Source organism: Homo sapiens, chromosome 1 (assembly GCF_000001405.40).
Source record: "Homo sapiens chromosome 1, GRCh38.p14 Primary Assembly".
NCBI lineage: Eukaryota > Metazoa > Chordata > Mammalia > Primates > Hominidae > Homo > Homo sapiens.
In genome coordinates this window covers 229,124,337-229,147,976 of record NC_000001.11, presented here as the reverse complement: position 1 = coordinate 229,147,976, position 23,640 = coordinate 229,124,337, and the positions used below count along the sequence as shown (strand labels likewise).

At 46.6% G+C, this 23,640-nt stretch overlaps 1 long non-coding RNA gene across 3 annotated transcripts in view, besides 1 other annotated feature; it reads left to right on the top strand.

Annotated features, from left to right (window-relative positions):
* LINC02815 (long intergenic non-protein coding RNA 2815) overlaps positions 1 to 23,640 on the top strand; it is a 67,626-nt gene that overhangs the window by 6,749 nt on the left and 37,237 nt on the right. The gene's annotated exons all lie outside the window — the stretch shown is intronic.
* Positions 17,661 to 17,955: an enhancer, noted in NCBI's record as "tiled region #2560; HepG2 Activating DNase matched - State 5:Enh". NCBI's record gives its function as "activates a minimal TATA promoter and a strong SV40 promoter by Sharpr-MPRA in HepG2 cells {active_cell/tissue: HepG2}" and the evidence as "EXISTENCE:reporter gene assay evidence [ECO:0000049][PMID:27701403]".

The window sequence follows — 23,640 nt, the reverse complement described above, 5'->3', positions numbered from 1 at the left end:
GCCCTGGGGGAAGAAACAGCGGGGCCCTGGTGCACACTTGCCCCAGGCCGGCGTCTTCACACCAGTGTCTTTCTCTGGGGCTCACTAAGATAGAGGGCATCACCCTCATTTCATGGACGAGGGAATCGAGGCCCAGGGAGATTAAGTAGCCTCTCACGCGTCCGATCCGGGAGACAGAGCCAGGAGTCAAGTCCTGTCTGTCTGAAGTCAGCACCTATGGGAAGGAAGGTGGGCAAGCGGGGGAGAGGGACCGCTGAGCGAGTGATCAGGTCCACTCCTAAGCGCTCCCCCAGTTCCTGACCCCCACGCTCTTGAGCAGTTCGGAGTCACACAGGGATGCTCCCTGAGGCTCAAGCCAGAGCCTGATGTGCGGGCTCAGTTGTATCCCCCAGAATTTACATGTCCTAACCCCCGGCACCTCAGAATGTATTTGGAGATAGTGTCTTCAAACAGGTAATTAAAGTGGGCCCTCATCCAATCTGACTAGGAAATGAGGACACAGACACACATGGGGAAGACCCTGTGAGGACACGGAAGATGGCCGTCTGCAAGCCGCGGACAGGTCTCTGCAGGAACTGAGCCTGCCGGCACCTGCGTCTCAGACTTCCCGCCTCCAGAGTCGCGAGGAAATAAGCTGTGCTTAAGCTGCCCGGTCAGTGGTGCTCGGTTCAGCCTGATCGACTCATACACCAGCTTGCACCAAAAGGCAGGCAGACGACACCTCCTGGGGCTTCTCTCCCCTCTGCCACAGATGCTGACGTTACACTGTTTGGGGGTGGTCTTGGATATGAATGTGACAGGAATTCAGAGGCGTGGAAGCCACTTGGGATCAGAAGCGTGGGAGGAGGCTTTAGAGAGCAGGATGATGAGGACTGAGTTGAGGAGAGAAGAGAGCAAGCCTTCCCGGCGGGGTGTCAGCTTGAGCAAGAACCCCGAGGGGGCCTACGATTGGGGCATGAGAATAAGGGGGTTCGGGCCAGGAGTGTGCAACGATGCCGGGCTGATGGAGTGCCTCAGGAGCTGGTGCTGGTGCGGCTGGGGAAAGCCACGTTTAGGAGCATGGCCCAGCACACAGCAGAGGCTGTTTGAGATCAGAAGCAGCCTCTGAGAGGAGGACTCAGGGGTGTGTGATTGATGAGGGCACAGGTCCCAAGAGGAACCAGCAAGGGATGTTGGAAGTGGGAAGGGAAGGAGGAAGCCAAGCAAGGATTTGCATCCAAAGTTCCAGCTGCAGCGAGCCCACAGAGCAATTTTGGAGTGCAAACCACATCTCAGTTTTGTTTCCGTTCAAGCAAGAGAGCTGGGTTTTTACACTTTGGCACCCATCAGGCATCGGCTAAGGGTCGCCTCGTGGCAGGTGTGGGTGGGATGCAGGTAAACTCTCCAATAGCTCACAAGTAGCATGTATGGGCCACTGCAGGCAAGAGCATGCAAAAGCTGTGTAATGGGCTCACAAACAGTCAGAGGGGTCCTAGGGGACCTGAGCAGAGGACCAGTGGGGTCAGCTACAATCCACCCCCTGCAACTGCTCAGCTATGCTTGCATCTCACACCAAGCTCACTCCTCCTGGTCGGGGCTCCTTCAAGATGGTGGCTTGTCACAAATCCTAAGGAAATACTTAAAGGAGGAAGATTAGTGGGACAAGTTATAGCCTCTGCTGCTGAAATGACTCCTGACACCGTAACTGATATTTATTGTGCCCCGCCTCTGCCGTCGCTGTAGATTCCCTGCCTCCTTCTCCTGCACTTCTGCTGCTCTCCGTGGGTTGCCTGGTGGCCTGACAGACCTTTACCCCCGAGGGGTCTGCACCCCTACTTGCCGTGCTCTCATCAGGCTGTGGTGTTGCACTTGCCCATTCCCAGTCAAAACTAGGTGAGAGAACGCCTAGACACGTCCCTGTGAAATCAGCCCAGTTTTCCAACAAGCCAGATGCCCACAGAACTGAAGCTTGAGAAACTTACATTTGTACAATGAAAGGAATTGGCTGCTGGTTGACCAACTCTTCTTCCTTGTCCCTCCTGATATTTAAATCCCTCACTTTAGTTGAGGGGAGGGGGCACGGCAGGATAGATTTGAGGTTTGGCTCCCATCTCTCCAGCTGATGTCACCTATAAAATAATAAAGCCTTCTTCCCTGGCTTGTCTCAGTGATTAGCTTTCTGTGTAGCAAGCAACAGTAACACCAGTGGATCCCGTGAGTTCCTTCTTAGTGTGGCTCCAGTCCCATCTCTTCATAACAACGTGGGCCAATGATTACCAGGAGATGGTAACTCTTTTATTTACCTGCTGATCTTCTGTACAAAGATGCTCTTCTGTCAGCTTATCATAGGACATGCTGTCAAGTCCATAGGTGCAATCTAAGGTGGACGCCATATCTTTAGGTTTAGTGGGACTCTTACTATGTTCCTGCTCTGGGACTCATGATCTCTAGAATCATAGAACCTAAGTTACAGGGATGAGAAGCACAACTCCCCAAATGGACTACTGGGGATGATAATGAGTGGGACCACTTCTCCCTCCGCCCCTTGGTTCTTGGTTGCTAAAGGAGCCTCCATTCTTTTCCCACTTTCAAATCTATATTCCACACTACTGCTGAAATAATCTATCTAAAGTGTAAATCTGATAATGCCTGTCCCTTTACTTATTGGAAAATAGTAACAGCATCAGACAATGGCCATTGGCTTAAAATATATACCACATCCTGAAAGACCACACACCAGCTTCACAATGTTAGTGCCTCAGCAGCTCCTGCAAGAGCCTGATCCAAGGCCCTCTCAGGCTGGCACCTTCTGGAGAAAGCAGGATGTGTCAGGATCAGTGAATATTGTGGTTTTATGCCCTTTCCTATACCTTCTTTGCCATAAAGTGGATTTCTTGGCCTAAGACGATGTTATATGGGATCTCAAGTTGGTAAATCAGACACTCTGTAGGTCTCTGGTTAGTGGTGCTACTGAGGCACTGAGGGCAGGAAAGGTGAATTCACACCTGGAATGCATGCCAATTTAGAACAGAATGAATCACCGCCCTTTCCCAGGTAGAAGGTGTCTTATGTAATCCATTTGCCACCAAGTGGTTGGTTGGTCTCTTCAGGGATGGTATCATCTGGAGGACTCTTCTGGACACTGATGTTGACAGACTGGACATTCAGTGGCAGTCATTAGATCAGCTTTGTGAGTTGGGGAGAGCCCATGCATGATGTTGGGCCCTCCATAGCCTCCATCCTTGCCACCATAGCGACTCCATTTATGGGCCCATTGTATAAGCACTAGGGTAGTTGAAGATCAAACTTGTCTGATACCCATGGGCTGAATGTGCCAGTCCATTTGGTTGCCTAGTGCCTCTTATATATTGGATGCTTTTCAGTGGACACTAACATGAAACACCAAGATCCTTACACCTTGTGCCCAGTCCCAGAGGTCCATCTACAGCTCCTTACCCAGATCCCCTTGTGCAAATCTTCCAATATTGCTTCTTCCAGGTCGCTGACCAACCAACCAAACCATTTCCTATTTCCCAGGAGTTCAGGCATATCCTTATCCCAGGCTGTCTCTTTTTCCACCCAGAGTGGCTGACCCATGGCACTGGCCATTGGGAGAATCTCCTCTCACTGCAGGCTTTTGATATCATCCCTCAGTGTGGCTGCGGTAAAGCAATCATCCATTTTAGGCTCTCACTGACATGTAACGCCAATCTGTTTTTGAACCAGGCCTAATTTTTTCCCCTCTTCTGCCAGCTGGTCATAGGACATGCTATTCAAGTCCATAGGTATAAGCTAAGGAGGAAGCATTGGTGCATCAGGGACAATGACCTGGGAGCCAGAGCCACTTGTCTGTGCAGCTTACTCATACCTCTGCACCTGCTTGGGGCCAGTATTTAGATGTAGCACTCTCATTGGATGATGGGCTGCTGTTCCACCCTACCTTATGGCTTGGTGGATCTCACAGTACCCAGCTAATGATGGGCAACTCCATTCACACAGTCACCTGATGTCCCATGATTAGATGCTCTGTCTCTACCCAGGTCCAATAGCATGCTAGGGGCAGTCTTTTGAATGGTGCAAAATTCTCTGAACATAATCGGCCTATTTCTCAAGGCTCTTCCAGTTTCTAACCTTTGGTGGCCTTTGAGCTGTTCTGAGTCTGTCCAGGGACTGCTCATTGAAGCTAACTTGAAGGCCTAATTTTCGCCAAAAAGCAGGCAGAGGCCCCATTCCAGTACTCTAGGGGTCTGTGCTGTGAGTGTCCTATCGGAGATTTCCTGAGGCTCGACATGATATTACTGTCCATCAAAGATACCTTCAGTATGATAAGATCTTCTAGGTTTTGGTGGGTTATATGGCCCAAGTAGCCTGGACCTGTTGCAGGGCTCTGTCTTACTCACTGACCCACTCAAGACTGAGTGCCTTCTGTGTCACCTAATAATGGGCCAGAGAAGTATTTTCAAGTGCCATGTATGCTGCCTATAAACCCTGAAGAATCCTACCAAGCACTGTGCTTCTTTCTTAGCCGTGGGAAGTACAAGCTGCAATAACTTGTCCTTTACCTTGGGCAGTATTTCCTGAAGACAGATAAATTTGGGGAAAATTATATTGATCTTCATTAGTCCCTACTCTACTTGGAGGATGATGATGGCGTTTCAGTTCTGGTATCAGTGTCAGCTCCGACCCATGTCTAATAGTCCTGGAAGGATCTGGCCAGACTCTCTTCCCAGGGCTTGTGATTTTGGCAAATGTTCTCGGATCACATGGGAAAGACTTGGGGGAATGTTTACTATAGATTATTTGTGATGGTATTGCCAAGTCTTTCCTCAGAGAAACCCGGACTCTTCTTCAGTCAGTCGACTCTAGGTGTGTTAAGCATTTTAATCTGAAAATTGAATAAAGGACCAACGCTCAATCTTTTTTATGCAAAGTTGAATACCACCTTAGTCGACTATCCATGTTAGGAGAACACCATGATCTGGTAGCTGCTGGGGCCAAGGGGAAACTTCCCCTGTGTCCACTGAGGGTCCACTGAAAAGCACTGGCAAGGGGCAGGTTAATAGGAGAAAAAGCATACAAATTTATTTCATCATAGTCTTACATGACATGAAGACTTCAAAATGAAGACCCAAAGACACAGGGGAAATTATCCATCTTTAAGCTTATGTTTAGCAAACTATGGACAGCTGTGTAGAAATATGATTGGACAAAAAGGATATGATCCGATGCTAACAGACCCAGTGGGACACCCAGCAAGGCCTGTCTGTCTAGATTCTTCCTGCTGTCTCTGCACAGCATTCCTTCCTTCTTGGGGTGGGGCAGGGCTGTCTCTGGAATGGGGGCGTCTCATGACCTACATTCAAACAAGGTAGGTCAGATAATTTCTTTAAGGCTAGTTTTTACACAGAAAGGCAGGTGGTGGCAGAGGCAGTTAGAGTCATATTTTTAGATTTTATGGCTGGCTTTGGCTGTGGGGAAAAGGGTTCTGGTTTCTATGACCTGCCTTGGGGAAGAGGGGTTCTAGTTTCTCTGTCTAACCTTGGGGGAGAATGAGACTGAGAGGCAGGAGGGCAGGAGAATGTCAGAGGAAAACTTTCGCTTCTGAGGCCTTCATTTTGGGGTATTGCTTTCTGAGCTCCAACATAGCCAACAGCCTTTACGATATGTGTCCACAAGTCACGGCACACTGATGGCTATTCCAGTCTTGTTGTCCTTTAGGGTAATCACATTCAATTTTCATTTGAGATTTGAGTGCCTCCTAGCCTCATAATTCTATGATCCCATTATGCTTACTGATATTAGGGAGTCCATTTCTATGACATCATCTTTAACTGTCAACTCTGCTCTAAAATGGACAATCATCCCTGCCTCCAGAACTATAAGAAATAAATTTGTTTTTTCATATATCTAAAAAGGTACCATCTTCAGGCTTGTGAGATATCAGTACAGCCATCACCAGTGCATTCCTTATGATCTTGGAGAAGGGTGTGTCTTCTAGTCTCCCCTGGGGAAATAGACAAGAGTGCTTTCTCACGTCCAACTTGGTAAATCCACTCTAACAACCTTATCTGTCTGAGCTGATTGCACTTTCCTTGATGGTATGATAAGGATGGTGGTAGCTCTGCCTCATTTCATGTACATTTCCTTTATGTCAGATCTTCAAGGAGGCATCTCAACAGACTTGTGGGACTGGCTCCAGGTGTTTTGGTTAGAACATTGGATCCCAAGTTACGTGGGAGGTCTCCCATGTCAATCAGTCCTCCCCTATCCAGCCTGATGTTCTCCTTGCTCTGATTTGAAACCCCTCGACATCTATTTTCACATATTTCCCCAGGTCTTGGTAGTATTTATCAGCTAGGACTACAATTCCCTTGGCATGTAAACTTTACTCTGGAGCAAGGGCTCTATTTTTCCATTCAGGTGGTGTTGAGACCTTGCCCAAGTTTTGGTACTGGAATCAATGATGGGAGGCAGAAGGGAATCTTAAGGAGGGCCAGCATCATCATGCAAGGTTGCCTGAGGCCACCTGCCTCAGGCAAGACCTCTCGCTGCTCAGTTCCAGGCACAGGGGCACTCTTCTCATTTGCAAAGGAGGATGAGGCTGCTTCTGGCAGCGCACTGGGTTTTGTACAATACAGGGACTTGAAATTCTTAGGCTTGTCCAATCAAATATTCTTGTTACAGTCTCAGGGTTTCACTTTTTTTTTTTTTTTCCTCATCAGGGCCCTGACTTTGGCATAGAAAACCTATGAAGATGCAGATTAGTCTTCCCTACAGCTCTCACAGCTCTGCCATGCTGAGGCTTTGACCCTGGACCTGCTGTTCACTCCAGTCTGCCCCATGGCCGCAGGAGACAAATGTCTCCTTAAACGCTGCCGTTGAGGTCTTGTGACTTTCACAGTGTACCAGTGGGCCTGAGTTTGTTATTTTTTAAAAAGGATTCCAATGCAGTTAAAAGCAGTCAGCTTCCTCTACAATTCTTATGGTTTTAATTTAAGTATATTTACATAGGGCTTACTAGGCTTCAGGCTGTGGTTCATGGGATATACAAACATTAAATCATTTATTTCTCACAACTCCATCAGGGAGATTCTCTTTTCACCCCTTACGACAAATGAGGAAACTGAGCTACAGAGAGTTTGCGAATTTCCTCCACATTCCACAGCTGCTCAATGGCAGAGCTGGGATTTGAACCCAATAAGTTCAGCACCAGGGTCCATACTCTGTCCTCCCCTTCAAAAGGAGCCACCTATTATGTCATCCATTAAAATAGTTTTATTTTATTTTATTTCAGTTGTTGCTAGCCCCGAGTCTTCAGCGAATGAGGGCCATCATCATCTTCTAATGGAAGAGGTAGGAGAGAGAGACAGAGACAAGAGTTGTTTCATAACATGGGTCTTGCCTAGAAAATAGGGGCAATACTACAATGCATCTGGCCCCACTGAGCAAGTCTGTCATGAAATGGAGCACACAGCAAATTGGGTTTAATGTAAAAGGATCAATACCTCCACCTCTCTTCACTTGAACACTAGGTCCCACAGCTAGCGGTTGATAGATGCATTTCATCACCTGATAGATGCATTTCAAGGTTTTTCTTTGTTTTGTGTCTTTTAAAAGTCACAGGCTAAGATCCCTCTCACATGTGAGAAAAATGCAAGCTGCTATGGATTGAATTGTTTCTACTCAAGAATTATATGTTAATGAACCTCAGATTGTGACCTTGTTTGGAGGCAGGGTCATAACAGAGGTAATCAAGTTAAAATGAGGTCATCAGAGCGGGCCCTAATCAAATATGATAGATGTCCACATCAGAAGGGGAAATTTGGACACAGAGACACACACACAGGGAGTACACCACATGAAGATGAAGGCAGAGATTGAGTGATACATCGTCAAGCTAAGGAACACGAAAGACTGCTAGCAAACCACAAGGAGCAAGGGGTGCGGCGTGGAGCAGATTCTCTCTCACAGGCCTCAGGAGGAACCAGCTCTGCTGATGCCTTGATTTTGGACTTCTAGCCTCCAGATGAAATGTATGAGACAATAGATTTCTGTTGTTTAAGCCTCCTGGTCTATGGTACTGTGTTACAGCAGCCCAAGCAAACAAATACACATACAGACACATCTTAAATGTCCATGAGAAGTGGATATTTACATATCATGGGGAAGTGGATATTTACATATCTGTGTAAATATCTATGTCTTCCTATTTTCTTAGTCTCTTTTCTCTCTTATTTTCATTTTCCCTGTTTTCTACACATGTGCTCTCTGACTCTTGCAATCTCTCTGCACCACTAACCCTTGCCATGCAGCGTTTCCTATTCTTGGTTGCATGTGGGATTGTCTGTTTCAAGTGCATTTAGGATCCAGGGAGCCATCTCACTTTAGGGACAGATGACTAATCCTTCAGCTCAGTTAACACATTGCCCGACTTTAAAGAAACACAACAATGACAGATGCTAACGCGACCACTGGGGCAGGACATGTTTTGAAGTGTGGGTAAAACAAAATGAAACAAAACCTGTATCAACTCGGCCCTTTCGATTTTCGGAGCTGCTGTCTGACTTGGAGTTGTACTATTTGTGAGAGGCTTTGAGCCCACTCACAATGCAGCATGGCTCTGTGCATCTCACCGGGCCCTCCTTCAGCTCTCTCCTGAAGTAGGCAAGGTGAAGAAAAACACGGAGAGCCTCTGCCTGTGATCCTGCCTGCTCCAGAGCCACCCCCACTGTGGATTCCCCAAGGAGAGGAAAGCGGGTCAGAATGTGAGCCCAGAGTCAGCTTTCAGGGTTCCAGCCTGGTTCCACCACTCACCACTGTGGGATTTTTTTGTTTGGGAGTGGGGGGCATCTCAGTTTGCTCGTCTGTGAAATGGAGACAACAGTGGACCTCATAAGATGGTTCTGGGCATGAATTGAGATGAGATTTGTAAGTCACTTAGAACATGACCTGGAAGACAGGAGCAGCTAAAAGAAAACTATGTGATCTGTTATTCTCAGCTCTGACATGGGGGAGGACTCATTTTCCACCAACTCTCCACAACAGGAAGGGCAAGGAAGCGCAGCCTGTGCCCAGAGGAGAGGGAAGGGGAGGGTGGCAGACCCGGGGTCCACCTCCTGGCCATAGGAGCAGGGCATGCTTTGGGTCATCAGTGCCGACAGGCAGAAACGTCTCTTGGATATGAGTAGGGTGCTGCCATCAATCAAGTTTCTCTGAAAGAGGTTGGTGCTTGCCACCAAGAACTTGCTCTGCAAGCATGGGCTCTCCTCCCGGTTCTCACCGTGGAAGCCATGCCCTGGGCTGATGGACTTGCTTTGCAATCCCTGCTGGTAGCAGGCAGCAGGCAAGCCTGGATAGCCTTGTCGCAGTCCCACTGCCCCCAGGCCTACAAGAAAAAACCCAGTAGCCACTACTGATCTCGGGGCTGTTTATTCCCAACTGGGCTCACTGATACCCAGAATTACAAGAGGCGGATGGAAAAAGTCTTGTCCTGAGTCTCAAAGTGATGCTGAGACCTCTTCTTCCCCCTATTTCTCTGACCTTGCTTGGGCAAGTTTCTGTCCCATCCCATTTTGTGTCTAACTTTAGCTTTATTTTGATTCTGGCAAATACATTTGCAAGGAATAGTGATTTACGATAAGAATTCCTTTTCTCCCTGGCATAGTAAACATGTAACCGGAGATGGTTATACCAGTGCATCAGTCAATTGCTCTGGTTGAGCTGGGAGGAAGGGCTGCATGGATATTCAGAAGGCTTAGAAGAGTGTGCAGGCAATAAACACCATCTCTGAGTCACAAAACACTGAGTACTAGGGAGGCATTTTGAACTCCTCTCTGTCCCTCCAGAGGATAGGGGAAGGCAGAACCATCACTATGTTGGCAGCCTTAGATTTTAGATTTTATTGCTTGATGGTGGCCGGTGTCAACTCTGCTTCTCAGAGTAAGTCTTCATACTGAATGGACAGTGAACACCTGAAAATGAGTGTTCTTATAAAATTGTCAGCTTGTAACATTTCCTGGCCCCCCATGCAACTACAGGCTCTGATATCTGGGACCATACTGACTGTCCAACCACGAACTTAGCCCTCTGAGTTTCTAAGACACCCTGATTAGCAGGTGGGCTCTGTGCTACATCTCTGCAGCAGCTGAGGTCTCATCTGCTTGTTGAGACTCCAGTCTCACACTTGGTCTCAGGACAACAAGCTCCCCTATATGCAAATGGCCCTACATGCTCCCAATGGGGTCTTGATTCCCTGATTTGCAATCCACATTCAATAACAGTAGCAAACATTTCCTGTGCACACATTGTGTGCCAGATATTGTTTGCTCCATACAAAGATGAATCAGACACAGATGCTATCCCCAAGGTGTACCTATTCTAGCTGGGGAGATAGATGGGTACATGGATGATTCCATTGCAGGGTAATAGAAGAAGAGGTGAGAACAGGACACTGCAGGAGCCTTCATTGTGACCCTAACCTAGATATGGGGGAAGGGTAGTAATCCAGAGAGGAGTTCCCAGAGGAAGTGAAACCCTCCCACACTATTCCTGCCACAGAAGCCCTGATTCAAATCTTGTCCAGATTAGCTGGGCACAGTGGCTCACACCTATAATCCCAGCACTTTAGGAGGCTGAGATAGTGGAAGGATCATTGAGCCTAGGAGTTTGAGATCAGCCTGGGCAACATAGTGAGACTCTATCTCTACAAAAAATTTAAAACATTAGCCAGCATGGTGGCATGCACCTGTGGTCTCAGCTACTTGGAAGGTTAAGGCGGGAGGATCACTTGAGTGTAGGAGGTCAAGGCTGCAGTGAGCCTTGATTACACCACTGCACTCCAGCCTGGGTGACAGAGTGAGACCCTGTCTCTAAAACAATAAAATAAAAACTGTTCCCCAGAGGCTGCTTCCTGTTCCGTTTCTGCTGCAGACGGCTGGGCCTTGCTCTTGATCAACAGCCCACGTAGACCTAAGATGCACCATTGCATGTGCCCTGCCTAGTACTGCTGGGGCTGGGCTGCAACCCCACACACAGCCACCAGCAGGGCCAGTTGGGAGCCTGGCCCACAGGTGCTTGTGGCTCTGGGTCCTTCCCTAGTAGCTTTGCTGGGATCCTCCTAACCAAGTGCATTTAAATGAAGGTAGGATCTTTTGTAAATTGTGGGTTCACCCCCATTCTCACTACACTCAAAGAATTCTACATCATTCCTGGTAATACAGATTTCTGTAATATATCTTAACTATTTTGGCCACTCCGTTCGGCACCGATGATGTCATATTGGTATTGTTCTACTCTTGACTTGCAGTGGGCTGGTTTTTGAGTATCTAGTATATGCTTCCAAGTGCTACAAAAACAGATTCTCAGGAGGCAAAGAGGAACAGCCTTGGCTGGCTGAGGGGATGGATGGTCCTCTTGCTGCCTTTGAAAAAACCTGTCCTTAAGAGCTCTTAGCCTGCCTGCTGGGGAAGTGTGGTGGCCCAGCCATCCTGACTATGGTATGGCCAGATGTTTTTTGAGAACAAAGGGATGTGGATTTTGGTGCAATTTCAGTAGGTTAGAAGTACAGAATTAAAATACCTAATTGAAAAATCAAACAAATGAATCTTTTTCTTTGATAAGAACCCATTCATGACAATTGTGACTTCTGTGTAATGCTCTATTCTTTCATTACTTTAATTCTTCACCAAACTGAGACTTGATCTGTTTAACCCACTTGGAAATTGAATCACGGCTTGCCTTGCAGTACTTTTTCCATTTATAAACTTTGTCTCTGTAATAGATGATTGAGGCCTTGAGGACTGTGTCCTGCTTCTTTTTATTAGCCTTTTCCCACTCCAGCCATCCTTTCCTAGAACTTTGCTAAGCTCATTTGAACCTTGCTCACTAGGCACTGGATTATAGATGTCACTGTTTTTTCATCTAAATTTTTTTTTTTAAAGTGAGTATATTAGTCTGTTCTCATGCTGCTATGAAGCAGCATATCTGAGATTGGGTACCTGAGACTGAGTAATTTATAAAGAGGTTTGACTCACAGTTCCACATGGCTGGAGAGGCCTCAGGAAACTTAGAGTCATGGCGGAAGGGAAAGCAAACACATCCCTCTTCACATGACAGCAGGAGAGAGAAGTGCAGAGTGAAGGGTGAAAAGCCCCTTATAAAACCATCAGCTCTCGTGAGAACTCACTATCATGAGAACAGCATGGTGGGGGACAGCCCCCATGATCTAATTACCTCCCACAAGGTTTCTCCTCCAACATGCAGGGATTACAATTCAGATTACAATTCAAAATGAGACTTGGGTGGGGACACAGAGCCAGACCATATCATTCTGCCCCTGGCCCCTCCCAAATCTCATCCTTCTCACATTTCAAAACACAATTATGCCTTCCCACCATATCCCCAAAGTCTTAACTCATTTTGGCATTAACCCAAAAGTCCAAATCCAAAGTCTTTCATCTGAGGCAAGGCAAGTCCCTTCCACCTAGGAGCCTGTAAAATCAAAAGCAAGTTAGTTACTTCCTAGATACAATGATGGTACAGGCATTGGGTAAATACACCCATTCCAAATGGGAGAAATTGGCCAAAACAAAGGGACTACAGGCCCTACGCAAGTTTGAAATTCAATGAGGCAGTAATTAAATCTTAAAGCTCTGAAATAATCTCCTTTGACTCCATGTCTCACATCCAGGTCATGCTGATGCAAGAGGTGGGATCCCATGGCCTTGTGCAGCTCCACCCCTGTGGTTTTGCAGGCTACAGCCCCCATCCCTGCTGCTTTCATGGACTGGTGTTGAGTGTGTGTGGCTTTTCCAGGTGCACAGCCTAAGCAATAGGTGGATCTACCATTCTGGAGTTTAGAGGATGGTGGCCCTCTTCTCACAGCTCCCACAGGCAGTGCCCCAGTGGGGACTCTGTGGGGGCTCTGACCCCACATTTCTCTTCTGCACTGCCCTAGCAGAGGTTCTCCATGAGGGCTCTGCCCCTGAAGCAAACTTCTGCCTGGACATCCAAGCATTTCCATACATCCTCTGAAATCTAGGCAGAGGTTCCCAAACCTCAATTCTGGACTTCTGTGCACCTGCAGGCTCAACACCACATGAAAGCTGCCAAGGCTTGGGGCTTGCACCCTCTAAAGCCACATCCTGAACTGTACCTTGGCCCATTTTAGCCACAGCTGGAGCTGACTGGGAGGCAGGGCACCAAGTCCCTAGGTTGCACACAGCAGGGTGGCCCTGAGCCCAGCCCACAAAACCATTTTTTCCTCATAGGCCTCTGGGCCTGTGATTTGAGGTGCTGCCTCAAAGGTCTCTGACATGCCCTGGAGACATTTTCCCCATTGTCTTGGTGATTAACATTTGGCTCCTTGTTACTTATGCAAATTTCTGCAGCTGTCTTGACTTTTTCCCCAGAAAACAGGTTTTTCTTTTCTGTTGCATCATCAGGCTGCAAATTTTCCAACTTTTATGCTCTTCCTCATCTTGAATGCTTTGCTGCTTAGAAATTTCTTCCACTAGATACCCTAAATCATCTCTCTCAAGTTCAAAGTTTCACAGATCTCTAAGGCAGGGGCAAAATAAAGCATATTCCAGTTCCCAACAAGTTCCTCATCTCCATCTGAGACCTGGACTTCATTGTCCATATCACTATAAGCATTTTGGTCAAAGCCATTCAACAAGTCTCTAGGAAGTTCCAAACTTTCCCACATTTTCCTGTCTTCTTCTAAGCCCTCCAAATTCTTCCAACCTCTGCCTATTGCCCAGTTCCAAAGTTGCTTCCACATTTTTGGGTATCCTTATAGCAGCACCCCACTACCTCCTGGTTCCAATTAACTGTATTAGTCCATTCTCATGCTGCTATAAGGAACTGCCCAAGACTGGGTAATTTATCAAGGAAAGAGGTTTAATTGACTCACAGTTCCTCATGGCTGGGGAAGCCCCAGGAAACTTACAATCATGGCAGAAGGGGAAGCAAACTTGTCCTTCTTCATATGGCGGCAGAAGAGTCAAGTGCAGAGTGAAGGGGGAAAAGCCCTTGTAAAACCATCAGATTTCATGAGAACTCACTCACTATAGCAAGAACAGCATGGGGGGACCACCCCCATGATCTAATCATCTCCCACAAGGTCCCTCCCCTAACACATGGGGATTACAATTCAAGATGAGATTTTGGTGGGGGACACAGAGACAGACCATATCAGTGAATTACATTTTCAGTTTGAGTCATCTTTTAGGTAGTCCATTTTTGAAACTTATGTAATAGCAGTGAACTATCCTAGGGGGACACTTTTCCCTTTTGTCCTGATGTTTGAGTGTGCTTTTAGAAGTTTCTAGAAGACAAATTAAGAGACTTTTGGGACCTGCCACCTCCGGTAACTGTGAATTGTAAAACGTGTGCAAAGAATAAGAATGCCAGCAGAAGAGAGCCGCTGGAATGAGAGGAGCAGGCTCTCCTCATCTTCCATGTGAGGGCACAATTTTCTCTGGGAGGTGAGAAGTTTGGTAGGTTTCCCTGTTCAGGAAATTGATGCCCAGCTGAAACCAGTCTCTGGGCAGGAAATGGTCTCATTTGGCTGTGAGGAGGTGGGAATGTGAACGATTTAAGAAGCTGACTTAGCTTGGACTCCAGTGGAAGTGATCTCACCTATTCATATCATTCTGTCTCCACTTCCTCATTCCAAGGCACCACCTCTGCCTGGATGTCCCAGTGAAGTCCACCACCTAACCTATTTTTCTAGCGATTCTGACCCCAATTGGTATATTGCTATTCAATTTTGGCACTAACTTCCTGGAGTTAGAACAGACCCCAAAGATTAAAGAACATGACCCACAACAACAATACCCCTACTTCTGACTGACCAACCAAAAATCTAGGGGTGCCCATGGTCTTCCTCAGGTTCAATAACTCACTAGAACAACTCACAGAACTTGGGCAAATGCTATACCTTTGATTACAGCTTTATTATTAAAGCTCTCTCCCTCCCTGGAGGATGGGAAGTCAGACTGATATTCCATGTCTCAAAGTCCCAGCCCTCTTATCACATGGTTGGTCTTTCTAGCATGACCAGCCCCATCCTGAGGCTATCTAGGAACCACCATGGTCCACTTCATTAGCATAAAGTCAGGTGTGGTCCAATCCAGGGCCTCTTGAAAAACAAAGACACTCCTACTATGTGGGAAATTCCAAGGATTTAGATTTGCCCTCCCAGGAGCCTGGGACAAAGGCCAGTCATTAAACAAAAATTATTATTATACAACATTGCCTCTTAGCATTCCTGTTTTATTTTTCAGATTATCTATTTATTTATGTAACAGAAATGGTGTCTTTCTGTGTTGTCCAGGCTGGTCTTGAATCCCTGGGCTCAAGCAATACTCCCGCCTTGGCCTCCCAAAGTGCTGGTATTATAGGCATGAGCCACTGTGCCTGACCTATATTTTAGATTCTAATTCATGCATTAGCTTGGGAAAGTAATGATATTCTTTAAAGAAGGAAGCAACCAGAGCTGTTCTCCACCTCCTGAATCACTCAGGGCATAGAGCTCCAAGACACGGGTGGCGTTACTGAAATAAAGCATTGTAGTTCACTTGTGCTATGTGGACCTTGTGGGGTGGTACCACTCTGTTCCTCAGGCTCATGTGGCAGCCTCATCAGGAACATGGTCAGTCACAATGGCAGAGGGAAAAAGGATCATGGCAAAGCGAGTACAGGCCCTTGAGGCTCTGCCAGAAGTAACAGACATCACTTTCAATCACATCTCAAAGGAAGGCTTGTGTCAAAGGACAGTTAGAACCCAATCTAAGATGTAGAAAGTTGAATAGCATTAGCAGTCACATAGGTTGACAGGAAAGAGACAAGGATGGAAGCTGCTGTTACTGTCTTGGTGAGAAAGGAGTAATGAAGAGACAGGAGTAAAGGAGAGCAGGGATCTGAGAGGCAGAGCTCAGGCAAATGTGATGTTATTTGGGGAGAAATTACATGAGGAGGTGAGGGGAAGGAGAAACTAGAGGTTCCTTAGGGTCTAGCTTGGGTAAGATGGGGGTGCTGGCACCCAGGAAGCAAGGAGGAGTAAATGGAATGTTCTCTGCTTTGCAGGATGGTGCTGGTGGCAATTTTCACTTCCCAGGCCCCTAGCCAGTAGTAGAATATAGAGAAAAGATGAGGTTTCTTCATTTCATAAACAATCAACTAATCAATAAGCAGGCAGCCCTCTTCCTCTGAATGTCCTGCGTTAATTGAAAACCAGAGGACTTTGATCACTGAGGATTGTGTTGCATAACTGGTTTCAATGCACCATTGTTTTCCTCCCTGGTTTTTTTCCATGATGGAAATGATTTGTTTGCCACACTGGGCAGGAGATCATATTTAAATGTTTCTTGGGTTTGATCTCCAAACAGGGGATTAACTAATGCTTGTGCTAAGGTGCAGAGTAGTGGTAAACAGATTTAATAAACTCTAAGTATGTAAGCTGCTGTTGAGGGCAGGGGTAGTCTAAGATGTGGGCACCTGCTGGTTTCCAGCTTGGTCAACACCAGAAAGTGTCACATTTTGTACTTAAAAACTCAGAGGAGTTTGACAGCAGAAGAAGCCAGGGGTGAAGGTGGAGAGGCTGAGAGCCAGGTGTTTCCAACTTAGGTCTGCTTTTGCCATGAACCTGGGCAAGTGATGACAGGTTCTAAAGATCTTCCAAGTGTTCAAGGGCAGAGATGGGGAGGAGGTGGGGGGCCACATTTGCTGAGATTCAGACATTTATGGAGTGCTCCTAAGAAGGGTAATGAACGCCAAGCTACCTGCTCGAGAGAAGGAGATTCACGTTTCCTCTCTTTGCTATGGGAGTGAACAGAGACCATGATTGCTTGCAATAGGAGCCTTCATAACCTCTCTGCCCTTCACCGACGAAAGTGGATTCTATCTTTGCCAGCTCCATTTCTGGGCTTTTACAATTTAGAATCAGGGCAAGGGAGAGAGAGAAAGAGAAATGGAGATTCAAGCAGGCAAGTGGTGGGGAGACAGCTGGGAATTACAGAAGAAGAATCAGAGACTTCCTTGCAGGAGAGAATTAAGAGTAGAGGTTAAATAAAAGAAGCAGAAGAAAATCAGGCACCCACATGGGCTGCCAGGAGGCAAGGCTTTGCTGGGAGCAGAGAGTAAGAGAGAAGTTTTGGAGAATCAGTGAGAGAGCTGGAAAAAGAGGCTTGAGAAAAGTTTTGCTGCATGTTAAACTTCACCCTGTGGTGTGCCTTGATAATCTAAATAGTAATGGAATAGATTTTCATGAACATTTCCAGTAAAACAGACTTTGAGTTGGTGCGTTTTGGAGCCTCTCTGGAACCTGAGATGCTCTGAAGCCTGGATCGCTATGGAAGTAGCCTGCTGGGGGGTGGAGGTTGGCACAGGGGATGCCAGGCAGGTGGTCACCCCCCAGGCCTCAGCTTACCCATCTGTAGCACTGTAAGGACCCTGCCTGTTCCATCCTGTCTTTGCGCTTCTCAGCTCTAGCTTTCTCATTAGGGTGCAAGCTCTTCAAGGCAGGCCTATGTCCTCATCCCCCTGTCCCTCCCACTCCCTGGTGTGCACAAGAGAGGTCAATCGCTCCAGGTCTGTGAGGCAATAGGGTAAGTGTCACGGCCAGCACCACCCCTTCTTCTCCAGGACGGGAACCCTTCAGCCATGTTTCTTTTGAAGCTTTCTTTCCCCCTTTCCCCTTCATGCGTCTCCCCAGATGATGGGCTCACCAACCACATCCTGAGTCCTCTGCACAGGAAAGCAAGAAGGGTTGTTTTCACCCCAGTGCCCTTCCCTTTCCCTTCCCCCACCACCAGCAGCTCAGAAGCCAAAGTCCCCTGGAAATAGGTCTCTGCTTCCTTTGCTAACTCGTGGCTGATGGGCGTGTGTGGCATCCACCCCAGCTTCCTCCTCTGTGCCATTAGTTCTGCAACAGCTGGAAAGCAAGTCTGCGCTTCCCAGCACCTTTGCGCTAGGATTCTGGATGTGATGTGGGTTCTGCCAATCAGATTAGTCCCATTTTTTCTGTCACGAGACTAAATTTGAGGCAGGGTTAAGCTGAGAGACAGAGGCAGGGAGGGACGCACCCATGTAGGGGCAGAGCTCCTAGAAAAAGCATTGCAGTTTTAGCCCTGGCTTCCCGGTGTGACTGGGGCCTCCCTAATTGTAGCAGAAGGCAGGTCCTTCCGCATCCAGCCCTGTGGCGTGGCTTTGGGAAGCGAACCTGCCTCCTAATGATTCCGGGAGTCATGTAATTCCCCATGAGCACTCCCTTTCTGCTTTCAGAAAGACTTGTCTCTCTGCTGCTGAGTCCTGCCTGACACCTACGAGCACCCTGGTTGGGTGGGCAGCTGCAAGAGGCTGGCCCCCCATCCAGAGGAGGCTTTGTGACGAGGTCCTGGCCATGGGCAGGTCTACAGAAGTTGCTGGCGGGGCTTCTGGGGACGAAGAAGCAACCCCAGCTGGCTGCTCAGCTCCTTAACTGTCTGCCATTTGCCCTCTGGGATGTGGTCTCGACACCTCAGCTTGAGTGCTAAGAGGCAAGCAGCAGAGGAGAACGTGGGCTCAGGTGTCCCGGCAGGAAGAAGAGCACCCGGGGCTCTGCGGCTAAGGTGCTGCCGCCCTGCACTTGTGTGGGAGCCCCTTCAGAGGCTGCCTCTCTCTTCTACTTCCCTGATCCCCTCTCCTGCCCAGCACTAGGGAATCTTTGCTCGTTGGGTCTTTTATTTTTAGCTACACGGTTCAATGAAAGCCTTTCTGCTTTCTCTGCATTGATTTTGCAGAACAATCCAAGGGTCGGTCTGATGCTTTTATGGCTCAAATTTCCTGGGGTTTATTTTTCACGAGTAAAAGTAAAAGTTAAAACTCCTGTTTGTACCTTTAGATAACTAGCTTACCGTGGTGTGGACGGGTAGAGAATGAGGGAGACGGAGAGACTTTGGAGTCAGACTGAGTAGTTTTAATCTGGGCTCCATCACTTACTAGCTGTGTGGCGTTGGGGGAGTAAATAAGCCTCTCTGAGCTTCAGTTTCCTCATTTATAGATTAATAATAGCAACAATACTCAGCTCATAACCACTCAGGTTGTTTGTGAAGTTCAAATAAGGTAATGCTTATAAAACTGAGAGGCCAGGTGCGGTGGCTCATGCCTATAATCCCAGCACTTTGGGAGGCTGAGGCGGGCGGGTCACGAGGTCAAGAGATTAAGACCATCTGGCTAACACGGTGAAACCCCGTCTCTACTAAAAATACAAAAATTAGCTGGGTGTGGTGGCGGGCACCTGTAGTTCCAGCTACTCGAGAGGCTGAGGCAGGAGAATCACTTGAACCCAGGAGGTGGAGTTTGTAGCGAGCCAAGATCACGCCACTGCACTCCAGCCTGGCAACAGAGCAAGACTTCGTCTAAAAAAAAAAAAAAAAAAAAAAAAAGACTAGTTCATGATACTTATTAAGAGCTTAATTTTAAAAAAACAAAGCTCTTATTGTAATTACCTTTAGTTTTTTCATTTATAAAGAGGACAAAGAAAATCAGCATACACGCACACTCACTGATATAGAACTGGCTCCAGCGCAGGGAGTTCTATTTTAAGCAGGCCCAAGTGGGCCTTGTCTCTACAAGTCAATAGCAAAATAGAGGGTAAGGGGAGATCTGAATGGTTCTGGGAGCAGCCGGGGAAAGCAGAAACCAGGTTCATTTAGAGAGACGTGGGAGGACGAGCTTCTGTCTCTGGGTGGCCTCTCTTCCTCTCTGGAAACTTCTTCTGCAGCAGATGGGCTATGCAGGATTCCCTCTCACCATGCACAGGCCGCAGCAGGCTGGCCCAGGACTCCCACTTAGTGCAGATTTTATGTCTGTTAAACACACATGACCCTTCTTTGGGACAAAGAAATTCTGGGTTTAATAGAGGCTCATCATCAGGCTAAAAACAATCTGGTGAGGCCACAGTTGGGTGTATGAGGCTCTTCTTGGTCCATGGCAAGGAAGGAAAATTCACTCTGCCCACTGATTATATAGGCCGCAGAATACTAGAGATTTGGGTGGTCTTTTTGTTTTACAAAAGTACAGCAGGCCACTTAGAACAAAAACATGGACTAGTTTAGGACTGGGGAGAAGAAATACATTTTGGTTCGTCTAAATCTCCTAGAATTGTTTTCTCAGCTTCTTCTAGATCCATACTCATTTCAAACTTGATCTCTAGCTTGAGAATTTTTGAAATGTAGCTGAATCATTTGAATCCATCCCCCATGTCGACAATCTGTAACTCAAAACTTACCCATAACACAAATAAGTATTTGCAGAGGGGAGGTTCAAGAATGCTTAAAAGTTTAATTGAAGGCTTCCCTCATTGTTCACAAGTTTGCTTTGGGGTTCACTGAGAAGAATTAACATTTGTGGATAGTGTGGGCATCAGAACTGGACCTCTTTCATACAAGGCTTTGATGCCTCCAGCAACAGAATGGCTGTCTGTAGTCCGCTTGGCTGTGGCTCTGAGTTTGAGGGCTGGCTCCAGGCCTCCTGGGGCTTCCCCATCCCTGCACCTTCCCACTAGCCACTTCCTTTGTGGTTTCCAACGTGTCCTCTCTCAGAGTGCTGCTCAAATCTGTTTTGATTGGGGTGGTCAGTTCACAAGTTAAGAATGTGTACATTTGATCAAAACTTGTTCTGCTCCCATCTTGAAAACTTCTAAGTTCTGATGTCTGTCATTAAGAACTATGTTCATTGTATTTGATAGTACAATAGGAAAATTACAGTTAACAGTTGTTTATTGTAAATTTCAAAGTGACTAGAAGAGAAGAATTATAATGTTCCCATCACAAAGAAAGGATAAATGTCTGAGCTGAGGGATATCCCAATTACCCTGACTTGATCATCACACACGGCATACAGGTATCAGAATCTCACACGTACCCCCAAAATATGCACAACTATTATATATAAATTTAAAAACTATAATAAAAAAGAATTATGTTCATTGAAATTAATTTTGAGGGAATTTTGTCTCTGTTGCCTGACTAAACCTGCTTAGTCAAAATATAGCCTTATCTTTAAATTTCTTTGCCCATGTATGTTCTTCAGTTAATTTTTTTAACCTCATTTCCCTCCACATCACCTTCCCCCTCCTCTGCTAACTTGTCTTACGTGTGCCACCGCCTCCATCTTTCTTCTGACCTTTTAGTGGAGGCATCCTTATGCATTTTGTTTCTCATCTTATATCTGATTTATAAAGAAAACCAGTACGGTCACACCCTCTATGCTTGCCTGAGTTACCACCTAGCAAAGTGATGTATCCCAGAAAAACATCTGAAAGTAAGTTTTCAGGTCCCTTCAAGGATTATTTTGTCTCTAGTTACAGCACATGGATCCAGATAGCAGATGAAATACATTTCTTTTCTTCGTGCTTAAAAACACTAACCGCGGCTGGGCAAGGAGCCTTATGCCTGTAATCCCAGCACTTGGGGAGGCCAAGGCAGGTGGATTGCTTGAGCTCAGGAGTTCAAGACCAGCCTAGGCAACATGGTGAAACCCCTTCTCTACAAAAATTACAAAAATTAGCCGGGCGTGGTGGCAAGAGCCTTGTAGTCCCAGATCCTCTGGAGTCTGAGGTAAGAAGATCGCTTGAGCCTGGGAGGCAGAGGTTGCAGTGAGCTATGGTGGTACCACTGCACTCCAGCCTGGGCAACAGAGACCCTGGCTCAAAAATAAAAACACCAAACAATTCCCAGTGTAAAAAAAATAAAAATAAAAACACCAACTGCATCTTTCTTTATTTGATCTTATAGTCATGCTGACCCTCCGTCTAACTTTTGTCTGTTCTCCACATCCCACATCTCCTAATTTTATTTGTCTAAAAACTTCCCACAGGAACATGAAAACATGAGCTCTCAAGATGTCCATTGGTTTAGGGAGGAGAAGCTGGCTGAGAGGATAGAACATAGATGAAGGTGTAGAGAACAGCACCACTTCCAGACTAAGACTTTGGATTCAGGAAAAAAAAATGTGGGTTCTCCTTCCAATTAGGGGGCATGGCAATGAGTGGGAAATGCGGCTTCTTTAGGGAAGGAGCCAAAGCTTCCTAGCTTTATAGTTTGGATAGAACTAAAATTAAGATTTCAACTGGGGGCAGTAGTACCCAGGTCTTGGACGCTCAGTGCGGCCTCTTTGAGGGCCAGTTTTCCATTGCACACCATGGGAGTGACCACATTTTGATTCGGGGCTTGAGTAGTCATTTCAGACACATTTACCAGGTGTGTGTTGTGGATAAACCATATGGTGTTTAACACAAAGTATAGATGTCCTAGGCCTAGTGCCCCTCAGGGAATAAAAATAATAATAACAATAATAAAAATGAGATGATGAAGCAAGTTCACCCACAATTATATTCCAGAAAGGATATAACCACCAAGACAGAGATCCCAAGAGGGGAAGCGGGTGTTTGGAAATGTGGCAGATCACATCCTTTTGAGGGCAGAAAGGAAGATAATTCTAGAGACCCAAGAAAGCAAGATAGGAAGGATTAGTTTTCCCAGCACAAATTTTGGTAGTTGAGGAATTTATGGGAGCAACAATAAAGCATTTAAAAATCCTGGCTGTATCGTTCAAAATCGTATTACTTGGGTATCTATTCTACAATACATATTTTACTTAATGAAAAAATGAGTATCTCTATAACTGATTTTAATAATAATTAACTACAGGGCTATTTTCAATTCTGCTGCTCAAGATGACGGTTTTGTTAGGTCAGCTTTCTCTCCGCTCCCATTAAGAAGTCATTAATAATTTCTCACTAAATCACAATTATTAATAATTTCTTAATGGCCATGAAAAGAAAGCTGCCCTAAAAGATGTTGTCTTGGGCAACAGAATCGCAAATAGTACTGCAGGTAATTATTAATGAATCAACCCTTTAATCCTTACAGAGATTTAACATTAGCCAGGCTTTATCAAACCACCTTCCCACACTGCAGTGCACGTGAAGATGATTTCAATGGAGTAATTGTTCAGCTCTTCCCTCCCGCTCTTGTGTTCAGGCTGGGGAGCCAGTTACTACATGGCATCAATTCTTTCTAAAGAGTAGTCACTCCCACTCAGAAAGCTGCTAGGATCGTTGGGGCCCTTGGATACTCAGGGGCCACTTGCAGGAAAACAATTTTATTCCAGGAAGATCAGCTTTTCCTGAGGCTTCTCTCAGGGCTTTCCAGGCTGTCCTAACTGGCAGAGTCAGGATTCTGCGCTCCGAAACTTGGACTCTGTCCCATTGAGAATATGGTTAGGAAACCAGACTGCAAGCCCCTGCCGTGGAGTATCCACCTGCTCAGGAGAACCCGTCCCCAGGTGGGGAGGGTGCTGCTCCCACGAATATCACCGTGGGGCTCCAGCGCCATCACCTGCCTCCCTGGCTTGCAAGCCATGCTTCCTCATGGCGGTCTACTCTTTAACAGGTGAAGTCCAAGCTCCTGACAGGTCCTGCATAACATTTGCTTGGAAACCTTTTACCAATGAGTTGGTTCTTTCAGAGCAATAGTGGGAGACAGCAATATTTCTCAGGGAGTAATAAGGATCCTTCAATAGTTCCTTTTTTCCTTCCAAATTAGAGTAGCTTTTAAGAGTCAGTGTATTTAATACAGGGGTCAACCTCCTCTTTTCTTAGTTTGCAAACCACAT